The 12270-nt window shown below is 52.3% G+C and overlaps 1 long non-coding RNA gene across 4 annotated transcripts in view; it reads left to right on the top strand.

Annotated features, from left to right (window-relative positions):
• The window catches only part of LALTOP (lung cancer associated lncRNA targeting TOP2A), a 140518-nt gene that overhangs the window by 58226 nt on the left and 70022 nt on the right, over window positions 1-12270 (top strand). The gene's annotated exons all lie outside the window — the stretch shown is intronic.

Here is a 12270-nt window from a genome sequence, read left to right as displayed (position 1 = left end):
TAGTGGGTGGTTTACCAGCATAGTGGCTGGTTTACTTGTGGAGTGGCTTGTTTACTGGTTTGGTGGCTGGTTTACCAATGCAGTGGTTGATTTATTGGTATTGTGGTTGGTTTAGCAGTATAGTGGCTGATTTACTGGTGTATTGGTTGATTTATCAGTGTAGTAGCTGGTTTACTGGTATGGTGGTTGGTTTACTGGTATAGTGGTTGGTTTACCAGTGAAGTGGTTGGTTTATTTGTGTAGTGGTTGATTTACCAGTGTAGTAGCTGGTTTACTGGTATGGTGGTTGGTTTACTGGTATAGTGGTTGCTTTACCAGTGTAGTGGTTGGTTTACTTGTGTAGTGGTTGATTTGCCAGTGTAGTAGCTGGTTTACTGGTGTGGTGGTTGGTTTACCAGTGTAGTAGCTGGTTTACTGGTATGGTGGTTGGTTTACTGGTATAGTGGTTGGTTTACCAGTGAAGTGGTTGGTTTATTTGTGTAGTGGTTGATTGACCAGTGTAGTAGCTGGTTTACTGGTATGGTGGTTGGTTTACTGGTATAGTGGTTGCTTTACCAGTGTAGTGGTTGGTTTACTTGTGTAGTGGTTGATTTGCCAGTGTAGTAGCTGGTTTACTGGTGTGGTGGTTGGTTTACCAATATTGTGGTTGGTTTACCGATGTAGTACTTGGTTTAGCAGTATAGTGGCTGGTTTACTGGTATAGTGGTTGGTTTACTGGTATAGTGGTAGATTTACCAGTGTAGTAGCTGGTTTACTGGTGTGATGGTTGGTTTACTGGTGTAATGGGTGATTTACCAGTGTAGTGGCTGGTATACTGGTGTAGTGGCTGGCTTACTGGTGTAGCGGCTGGCATACTGGTGTAGTGGCTGGCTTACTGGTGTAGTGGCTGGCTTACTGGTATAGTGGCTGGCATACTGGTGTAGTGGCTGGCTTACTGGTGTAGTGGCTGGCTTACTGATGTAATGAGTGGTTGGTTTACTGGTGTAGTGGCTGGCTTACTGGTGTAGTAGCTGGCTTACTGATGTAATGAGTGGTTGGTTTACTGGTGTAGTGGCTGGCTTACTGGTGTAGTGGCTGGCTTACTGGTGTAGTGGCTGGCATACTGGTGTAGTGGCTGGCTTACTGATGTAATGAGTGGTTGGTTTACTGGTGTAGTAGCTGGCTTACTGATGTAATGAGTGGTTGGTTTACTGGTGTAGTGGCTGGCTTACTGGTGTAGTGGCTGGCTTACTGGTGTAGTGGCTGGCTTACTGATGTAATGAGTGGTTGGTTTACTGGTGTAGTAGCTGGCTTACTGATGTAATGAGTGGTTGGTTTACTGGTGTAGTGGCTGGCTTACTGGTGTAGTGGCTGGCTTACTGGTGTAGTGGCTGGCATACTGGTGTAGTGGCTGGCTTACTGATGTAATGAGTGGTTGGTTTACTGGTGTAGCGGCTGGCTTACTGGTGTAGCGGCTGGTTTACTGGTGTAGTGGTTGGCATACTGGTGTAGCGGTTGGCTTACTGGTGTAGCGGCTGGCATACTGGTGTAGCGGCTGGTTTACTGGTATAGCGGCTGGCATACTGGTGTAGCGGCTGGCATACTGGTGTAGCGGCTGGCTTACTGGTATAGCGGCTGGTTTACTGGTGTAGCGGCTGGTTTACTGGTGTAGCGGGTGGCTTACTGTTGTAGCGGCTGGCTTATTGGTGTAGCGGCTGGTTTACTGGTGTAGCGGGTGGCTTACTGTTGTAGCGGCTGGCTTATTGGTGTAGCGGCTGGTTTACTGGTGTGGCCGCTGGTATACTGGTGTAGCAGCTGGTTTGCTGGTGTAGTGGCTGGTATGCTGGTGTAGCGGCTGGCATGCTGGTGTAGCGGCTGGCTTACTGGTGTAGCGGCTGGTTTACTGATGTAATGAGTGGTTGGTTTACCAGTATAGCAGTTGGTTTACTGGTGTAGCAGCTGGTTTACTGGTGTAGCGGCTGGTTTACTGGTATAGCGACTGGTTTACTGGTGTAGCAGGTGGTTTAGTATAGAGGGTGACTTGGTACAACGAGGGACCACGGCCTCCCAGGATTGTGTCAGGGACTCCCCTGGTTTACTGGTGTAGCGGCTGGTTTACCGGTGTAGTGGCTGGTTTACTGGTGTAGCAGGTGGTTTAGTGTAGAGGGTGACTTGGTACAATGAGGGACCACGGCCTCCCAGGATTGTGTCAGGGACTCCCCTGGTTTACTGGTGTAGCGGCTGGTTTACCGGTGTAGTGGCTGGTTTACTGGTGTAGCAGGTGGTTTAGTGTAGAGGGTGACTTGGTACAACGAGGGACCACGGCCTCCCAGGATTGTGTCGGGGACTCTCCTGTGGCCTGGGCATGGCCGCAGCTGCTTCAGCACACAGGGTTGTCCCCCAGGATGTGGCCTGACCGTGGGCTCAGGAATGCTGTGGGTGGGAGGGATAAGCAGGGCATTCAGGGGACCTGTGGCCCATGGGAGCCACCCAGCTTCCCCTTTCTTCTGGGAGCCAGTGTTTTGCTGAGATTCAATGGACCCAGAGATCTCAAGCCTGGGGACCCAACGCCCCAACCCACATCCTGCCTCAGGGAGAGAAGTCCACGCGTGGCCCAGGGCACAGGAAACCCCTCCCCGCAGGAAACCGCAGGCTCCAAGAAGGTTGTTCTCACCGACCACGGCGTCCAGAGCTCTTCCAAATGAAAATTGTTTTTCCATTTTGGGGGTTGAGGGAAGTGGATTTAAATGCTGCCAGCAAAAACCAGTTCACAAGGCAGTTTTGGACGCCTCTACCTTCTGCACAGGACGTTTTACAGCAGCGCCTGTGGGCCTGAATGAGTTTGTATTTGAGATTGAAGGCTTCTGTCATACTAAGAATGTGAAGTCCTTACAAGTCACCAGTGTACGGAATCCGCCCACGGGGAGCAAGATCACACTAGAACCCCCAAGCTTGTTATTATCATTATTGCACCTCCACGTGAACCCAGCAGTGGTTCGAAGTTGGAATGTCACAGACTCTGAAGCCCCATCAAAGGCCTCTTCGACCTCAGCAGAGACTCCCTTCTGAGGATGGGCTCCAGCAAACCTGCTCTGAGCCTTCCCTTCCCTTGTGCCCCTGCCTCATCACTGCCATGGCTACCTCTTGGGCCCGCGTGCAGACATGGACAGGCCCACCCTGCCCCATTCTCCCGGCTTTTGCTCCCCCCACCCCAAAGCCTGAAGAGTCCTTTGGAGACATCAGCCCAATTTCCTTCATTCTCATAACTTTCCAGAGGTTTCTGAATCATTTGGGAGGAAACACTGAGTCCTGCCCAAGCTTCGCAAGCTGCAGCCCTGGCTCCCAGGTCCCTGGGCCCTGGCCCAGCACACGAGGGCGTCCTGTCTCCAGAGGCTGCTGCCAGGTGCACGTGTCCTCTGTTGCTGGCGATTCGGGTCCACCACACTATACAGAGTTCCCCCGCAAACATCGGCTGCACATGGCATTGCTCCCAGGCCCTCTGACTTCATGCATCACCTGCGACGTCTGGACTGACTGTCTCTGCCGCAGCCTGTGCGTGAGCTCACAGAGAGTCCGGCACCCTGGGCCACACCCAACGCCTGGCATGGAAGAGACAGCCAAACGTTTGTTGGATGAATAATTTACGAAACACTCTCTGTGGGCCGAAGGTGCCTCTCCCTGGAGTGGAGCTTGGGTAGAAGTGAGGGGCGGGACTTGGTGAGACCAGGGGGTGCAGGTGCTCAGCCGGAGAAGGTGAGGAGGTGACGTGTGTGTTTGCAGAGTGCTTTACACTTAGAAAGCCCATCGTCTCTAAGACAATGTGAGGAGGTGTGCTTTATGCAGCCCTGCGTGTTCCTGGAGGACCTGGGCCTCTTTCAGGACATCACCAGCAAACACGGGCCAGGCTCTCATAGGTGCTGGCACAGCACTGCCCGGGAACATTCGTGGCATCCAGGAGGTGCCATGTGGACTCGGAAATGGGGGTGTCAGGGTGGTAAGTGAGCACGGGCTGAGGTTGATTGAAGGATGCTCCGCGGTGAGGCTTCTCGAGGGAAGCGTTCTCAAACATCCACCAACGGCTGCCCATTCAAATTCCATCATCGCACATCATTTTCCTCCTAAAATTTAATAACACAGAACCGGAAAATTTGATGACCCATTCAGACCCTTAATGGTTTTATAAAACAAAGCTAAAGTCACTTACGAAGCAATAAAAATAAATTCTGGCTGGAGCACACAATAAAAACTTTTCATAAATTGCTTTTTCTTGTTTCTGTCACTGATACGAGCTGTCACCAAACTTAGCATTCCACTCTCATATTTATGCAAAACATTTGTTTTCCTGGCTATAAATCACTGTTGTCTTAGCCCACTTCACCTTCTTTTAATTTTTGCGGTCAGTACTAGCCATCAACACAAATACTAACTTTCCCCCCTAACGATTAGCTAATGAAATGCACATGACTTAGATTTGTGCCTCAGCAAGATGATGGAGGAGGTCACTGTCTAATGTGAGAAATGGCCAACTTTAAAATGGTGCCTGCCCCTGTGGCTGGAGGGTGCTGGGCTGAGGACATGGAGGCACAGGTTGGGTGGGAGGGAGGGCTGGGGACCTGGCACTCGCAGGGGAAGTGGTCATTGTTTGAGGTTTGTGTGCCGCTGAAGATGGTCCAGGGTAAGGTCTGGGTGTGGCATTACTTGAGGAGGTATCTGCCCCTTCCTCGAGGCTGTGTCCCCAGGAGCCTCTCGTCTGCGACCAACGGGCACGCTGGCCTGTTTCCAGTGGAATTTGGGAGATTCTGGTCCCTGCGTACTTGGAAGGCCCCGACTTTTCTGCCCTGATCGTGTGGCTCCTGGTAGAGCAGCTGAAGTATGTCCCCTCCCTGCAGGGCGTCCAGCCCGGGAACCTCCGTGCCTCCTCTTGGAAGCTGCAAGAAGGCAGTCTCGCAGAGCCAGCCCAGGAATGAAACACCGCCTTTCTGGCATGTCCTGAAATGAGCTCCAGAAACTGGAAAAACTGATTTCCGTAGGTCTATGGAAAAATCTTGCGGCGCTTCCTCCACCCTCTAAAAAAATAGGCTTCCCAGCCTGTGTTTCTGTTTGATCGGCAGGGCCAATGTTTTAGAACGGTCTCTGGTTACCTACCAGGCTGGCCTGCGGTGCGTCTAAGGTAATAACATCAGTGCTGGTTAATGCTTTTTGAACATGCTGTCTATCAAGCTGGGCTGCAGACTGCACTTACACTGTTCTGAACCTCACGACAGCCCTGCCATTATGGATTATTGCCCGTACTTTGCAGACGAGAAACCTTGCTCAGAAGTGCCGAGTGTCCTGCGGGGCCCACAGAAGCGGCGGCGAGCGTCCCCCACCTGCTGTCAAGGTGGGGAGGAGTCCTGAGGTTTGGCATTAGCTGATTTCTGTGTTGTAAATTTTCCCTCTACCTATGACTGACTTCCAGCTACAAACCCATCAACCAGCTCACAAATTTTCGGAAAATCTAACAGTCAGTAAAATTTACAGAGCCAGCTCCAGCACTGCTGCCTCTGATCTTCCTGAGCCTGAAGCCCTTCGTTTTAGCTTTCCTATTATCTTGGCTTAGAGGGTGAAAGAAAAGTCATCAGACTCCTGAAGCCGGGTAGAGGGGGCAGCGCACTCATCGGCATGACCATGGCTTTCCTTCTGCGCTGTTTTCCCTTTTCTTCTCTTGCTTTTCCCACGTCTGCTGCACCGCCCACTCTGCACATCATGCTTCCTCTTCCCAGGCAAACCCGCTCTGCAGTCCCCACTTGTAGGTGCCGGCACTGTGGGAGGATGGACTGACAGCGGGTATCTTTACTGAGCGCAGGTACACCGTATTGTAGGCACACCGTCAGTCCCCAGCTCTCCACTTTAAAGGGGGATTCTGAAGGGTGCACAGTCCAGTTCCTCTCCTCCACTGACTCCCCACGGCCTGCTGTGTAGGGAAAGAGAGATCAGACTGTTACTGCGTCTATGTAGAAAAGGAAGACATAAGAAACTCCATTTTTGACCTGTACCCTGAACAATTGTTTTGCCCTGAGATGCTATTAATCTGTAACTTTGCCCCAACCTTGAGCTCACAGAAACATGTGTTGTATGGAATGAGGGTTTAAGGGATCTAGGGCTGTGCAGGGTGTGCCTTGTTAACAAAATGTTTACAGGCAGCATGCTTGGTAAAAGTCATCGCCATTCTCCATTCTCGATAAACCAGGGGCACAATGCACTGCGGAAAGCCGCAGGGACCTCTGCCCTGGAAAGCCAGGTATTGTCCAAGGTTTCTCCCCACTGAGATAGCCTGAGATATGGCCTCGTGGGATGGGAAAGACCTGACCGTCCCCCAGCCCGACCCCCGTGAGGGGTCTGTGCTGAGGAGGATTAGTAAAAGAGGAAGGCTTCTTGTGGTTGAGATAAGAGAAAGGCCTCTGTCTCCTGCCTGCCCCTGGGAACGGAATGTCTCGGTATAAAACCCGATTGTACATTTGTTCTATTCTGTGAAAGGAGAAAACTGCCCTGTGGTGGGAGACGAGAGATGCTGGTGGCAGTGATCCTCTGTTACTCTTTACTCCACTGAGATGCTTGGGTGGAGAGAAGCATAAATCTGGCCTGTGTGCACATCCAGGCGTAGCACCTTCCCTTGAACTTATTTGTGACACAAATCCCTTTGCTCACATGTTTTCTTGCTGACCTTCTCCCAACTATCACCCTGTTCTCCTGCCACATGCTCCTTGCTGAGATAGTGAAAATAGTAATCAGTAAACACTGAGGGAACTCAGAGACCGATGCCGGTGCGCGTCCTCCATATGCTGAGTGCCGGTCCCCTGGGACCACTGTTCTTTCTCTATACTTTGTGTCTGATTTCTTTTCTCAGTCTCTCATCCCACCTGACGAGAAATACCCACAGGTGTGGAGGGGCTAGCCCCCTTCACTGCTGAGCCCCAGAGCCAGAGGCCACACCCTGTTCCAGCCCCATGGATTTTCAGTAGCTTTGCAAGGAAGCGACTGCCGTGCACGCGTTCCCGTCGAGCACCAGCAATTTTACTCTCTGCAGGGTGGAATCCTTTCCTTTGCAAGGTGGGGGCACCACACAGAGCAGGAAAGTGAGCTCCTCAGCAGAGACCAGGCTGGGATGAGGACACCGCGGTGCAGAAGAAAATCTGCCTGGCCGTGGTGCCTAAAGCTGCCATGCTCGGCCAGAGGAAGCCCCCAGCTGCATGTTTCCACACCTAGCTGAGGGTGACCAGGCCATGGACATGGAGTCCAGACAGCCCGGGCACGGTCGCTTGCTTGCGTATTCAACTAGCCTGGCTGCACAGGAGCTGTCAGAGCCATCCCTGTGCTCTGTGCACCGGGTTATCTTCCATCCCTCTCTCCTGTGTGGTTGAGTCTCTGTTGGTCCCATCCACAATGGGCGGGACTGGTTTTACGGCAGAACCTTCTAGAACGAGGGCAGTGTGGGGAGCAGGGCCTCTGGCTGGCTGGGGTTTTGTTCTGTATTCACCACTCTGCAGCTCTATGATTTGGGGACGAGCACTAATTGCCCCGTGCCTCAGTTTCCTCACCTGTAAGATGGGGTAATACTGGCTCTTGCCTGTTTCTGCGCTCATTTATTGTCCTGAGAATGACATGACTTAGCAGATGTGAGGTACCAGGACAGCACCTGGGTACAAAGCTGCCTAGCCGCACTCATGGCCACAGTTGTCACTGTCACCACCGCACTCTCCAGGGTGGTGGGAGCTCTCTCTGTGGCTGAGGAGGAGGGGGTTCAGGAGATGAGGAAGGCAGGAGAGGTGGAACTTGGCCCAGGGGAGGCCAGGATAAGGGGCTGCCCCTGCCCTGGCATCCTGCAGGCTGGGGCGATTCAGCTTTCCCGGGTCCATTCCCAAAAGAGCCCACTGTGTGCCAGGGTGGGCTCAGAGGACCTGCTGGTGAGGGGCCCTGTGTGGGGTTCGGCAGGACAGCCCCACTGCCCGGACACTCATAGTGCAGGAAGGACCCCCCCTCAGTGTGCCTCACTGCTGTGATCAGGCCCTTTCCTCTGAGTTCTCCTTCTACGGATGATGAGCCACAAAATACCCCCTTATTTAGGGACAAAGTCCAGGCTTTTTCGAGCTGAAGAGAGAGTTTTTTCAAGCCCCGTGCATGGTCTCTGGCTAGAAGAACTGGCAAAACCCACTCATCATGTCCTTCCCGTCCCCTCCTCACCCTGCTCTTCCCGGGTTGGCCCAGTAGCTGGGCCAGTGGCTCCCTGCACAAAACCCTTCCACGTGGCCTTTCCTTTTTATTTTCTGGATGAAGCCATCAGGCTCTCAGAATTGCTGCCTTTGAGAAGGCGGGACAGATGCAGCTTGTGGTGGGGTAGGGTCCAGCTCTCCACCTGCCATGGGGGAAACCGCCCAGCTGCCAAGTTGAGCAAGCAGGATGAGGCCTCCACGATCTTCACCTGGAGACTCAAACTTGTTTAAGAAGATCAGAAGGAGGCAGGAGTGGGGAGAAGATCAGAAGGAGGCAGGAGTGGGGAGAAGATCAGAAGGAGGCAGGAGTGGGGAGAAGATCAGAAGGAGGCAAGAGTGGGGAGCCAGGACTCGCCTGGAAAAATGGAGAGCTTCAAACTTGTTTAAGAAGATCAGAAGGGGCCGGGCGCGGTGGCTCACGCCTGTAATCCCAGCACTTCGGGAGGCCGAGGTGGGGCGGATCACAAGGTCAGGAGATCGAGACCATCCTGGCTAACACGGTGAAACCCCATCTCTATTAAAAATTCCAAAAAATTAGCCGGGTGTGGTGGCAGGCACCTGTAGTTCCAGCTACTCAGGAGGCTGAGGCGGGAGAATGGCCTGAACCCGGGAGGCGGAGCTTGCAGTGAGCCGAGATAACGCCACTCCAGCCTGAGCGACAGTGCAAGGCTCTGTCTCAAAAAAAAAAAAAAAAGACCGGAAGGAGGCAGGAGTGGGGAGAAGACCGGAAGGAGGCAGGAGTGGGGAGAAGACCGGAAGGAGGCAGGAGTGGGGAGAAGACCGGAAGGAGGCAGGAGTGGGGAGAAGACCGGAAGGAGGCAGGAGTGGGGAGAAGACCGGAAGGAGGCAGGAGTGGGGAGAAGACCGGAAGGAGGCAGGAGTGGGGAGCCAGGACTCACTGGCCTGGGAAAATGGACCCGTGTGCCGGGGTTTCGGAGCAGCCACAGAATCCCAGCTACCTGAGGATCTTCAGTGTTTAGAAGAAAATGTCATCAAGCCATGGGCATGAGAGAGGAGAGCACGTCTTTCTTCTTCTCTTCCTTTAATTGTAAAAATTGAAGAAATTTGAGACAGGAAGGGGCCTTGGGGGATCTCACTCAGCTGTCCTGGCCTGCAGGAGGAGAGGCTGGGCCCAGGCGGCTGTGCTGAGTCCTGCGAGCACTTCACATTCCTCCCGTTCTTTCCTTCCCCGGGGTCGGCAGAGCCCCTCTGTGTCCCACACAGTCAGGGGGAGACCCGGGCCCGTCTGCAGGGTGGAGGTCAGCAGGAGAACATGTCTGCGGTGCATGGAGGGACACGATGGGGGCCAGGTGTGGCAGGGATGGGCACAGCCTCCCCCACCATCTGCCCGGAAGGGTCCCACGGGACTGAGTTCCAACAGGAAGCTCCACTGGCTCTCCAGGGAGAGAGTTTTGAGGCTGCTTATCTTCAGCCTGAATTGATCCGTTTGATGAAGCAAATCCTAAATTGAAGGCCTGGGGCTTCCTTGGCCCCACCCCACCCCCACGCAGGGCAGGGAGGCCCCCACAGCCTGAGTCCTGGCCACTCACTGCAGCTGCCTGGTGCCCCATCCAGGGTCACGTCCTGACCCAGAAGCCTCGTCCAGGCCTCCCCTGAGGAAGAGGCAGGCCGGGTCCTGCTGGCATCTGCCTGTGACTCTCAGCATGGGGACACTGAGGACCTCATCTGGGCTGAGGGTGTCTGTGAGGCTGGATGCCAGCTGTGGAGACAGCAGAGAACTCTGAGCATCCTGCAAGCAGGGGCCTTTGTGATGCCTTGGGCCCCACTGGGGATGGCCTCGCGGGTTACGTAAAGGCAGGCAGTGTTCACTGTGCTCCCTGCCTGCCTGGCCGACCCCACCTCATTCTCACCATTGGAGGCAGGTTATTCCCATTTTACAGGAGAGGAAATTTAGACTTGGACAGACCAGGGCTGAGTCAACCTGCGTTGCTCTGAGTGATGGGTCTGGCTGCCATGGAAACCAGCAGCATGTGAGTCACTGGGACCAGCCAAGGTCACGCTCTGAGCAGGGAGGACTTGGGAACACAATGTCATGGACCGCCTGCACCAGCCGAGAGCTTGATGACATGTTCCTGGGGCAAGAACTCCTCCACCTTGCCCTCTTTCAGATGACACACCAAGTTAGAAGGAAAGAAGGCAACAAGTCATGAAACGAGCTGCAAAATTTCCTTATGTTTTGCTTTTCATACTTAGAAATTAGACAAGCCTGGTAATTCATAGATTTAGTTTAATATATATTTTTTAAGAAGTAAGGTCTCACTCTGTTGTCCACGCTGGAGTGTGGTGGTACAATCATGGATCACTGCAGCTTCAAGCCACTGGGTCCAGGAGATCCCCCGCCTCAGATTCCCAAGTAGCTGGGACCACAGGCGTGTGCCATCGTGCCCGGCCTGGCACATTTTGCATTCCTGTTGGAAGTTAGAGGGAGCCTCCCCTCTGTGTCTCACGTAAGTAGAGACTCCTGTGCCGGTGGCACCTGATGGCTCTGAGAGACAATAGGGAGGTTCTGTTTGCAGACTCAGAGCGGCCTTTTCGTTCCTACCACCCTGAGACCTGTGGGCCAAGGGCTCTTCACCACTTGGACTTCTGAAGTAAGAGGCAGAAACTTCACCAGCAGAGGCTGAGAAATAGGGAATTAATATACAGTTCTTAGTATAGGATGATGTGAGGGGTTTTTGTGTACACAATGGGAGACTTTGTATACAGCTCTCAGTATAGGATGATATGACGGGTTCTTGCATACACAATGGGAGACTTTGTATACAGCTCTCAGTATAGGATGATATGAGGGGTTTTTGTGTACACAATGGGAGACTTTGTATACAGCTCTCAGTATAGGATGATATGACGGGTTCTTGCGTACAGAATGGGAGACTTTGTATACAGCTCTCAGTATAGGATGATATGACGGGTTCTTGCATACACAATAGGAGACTTTGTATACGGCTCTCAGTATAGGATGATGTGACGGGTTTTTGTGTACAGAATGGGAGACTTTGTATATGGCTCTCAGTATAGGATGATGTGACGGGTTTTTGTGTACAGAATGGGAGACTTTGTATACAGCTTTCAGTATAGGATGATATGAGGGGTTTTTGTGTACACAATGGGAGACTTTGTATACAGCTCTCAGTATAGGATGATATGATGGGTTTTTGTGTACAGAATGGGAGACTTTGTATACAGCTCTCAGTATAGGATGATATGACGGGTTTTTGCATACAGAATGGGAGACTTTGTATACAGCTCTCAGTATAGGATGATATGACGGGTTTTTGTGTACAGAATGGGGGACTTTGTATACAGCTCTCAGTATAGGATGATATGAGGGGTTTTTGTGTACACAATGGGAGACTTTGTATACAGCTCTCAGTATAGGATGATATGACGGGTTTTTGTGTACAGAATGGGGGACTTTGTATACAGCTCTCAGTATAGGATGATATGACGGGTTTTTGCGTACAGAATGGGAGACTTTGTATACAGCTCTCAGTATAGGATGATATGAGGGGTTTTTGTGTACACAATGGGAGACTTCGTATACAGCTCTCAGTATAGGATGATGTGTGAGGGGTTCTTGCGTACAGAATGGGAGACTTTGTATACGGCTCTCAGTATAGGATGATATGACAGGTTCTTGTGTACAGAATGGGAGACTTTGTTGGGTGACGCTGTCCATGGGCAGCTCTTTCCTGGAGTGCTGGCCCCTTCCCTCGCTGCAAAGAGAACGGAGTCCCCCTCGTCTCAGCTGCAATGTTCGGTTTAATTTCATGCTCTCAGGGCTGAGGAGAAATCCTTGTGGGTTTGAAACCTTCCTGTGAAATCGCTGCAAAATGTGGTTATTGTTCCGACCTCCTGCTTCTGCCTGGAGTGACTTCTAAACCCAAATCTTCACACAGACATCATACATGCACACCCATAGAACACACACATTCACCACACACCACACACACGCATCACACATACATATATATGCATACACATACAATGCGGCTTCTGCGAGGAAGAAGTGATGATATCC

Source organism: Homo sapiens, chromosome 2, assembly GCF_000001405.40.
Source record: "Homo sapiens chromosome 2, GRCh38.p14 Primary Assembly".
Taxonomy (NCBI): domain Eukaryota; kingdom Metazoa; phylum Chordata; class Mammalia; order Primates; family Hominidae; genus Homo; species Homo sapiens.
Note: the sequence above shows the minus strand (reverse complement) of the source record. Positions and strands in the feature narration are given on the sequence as shown.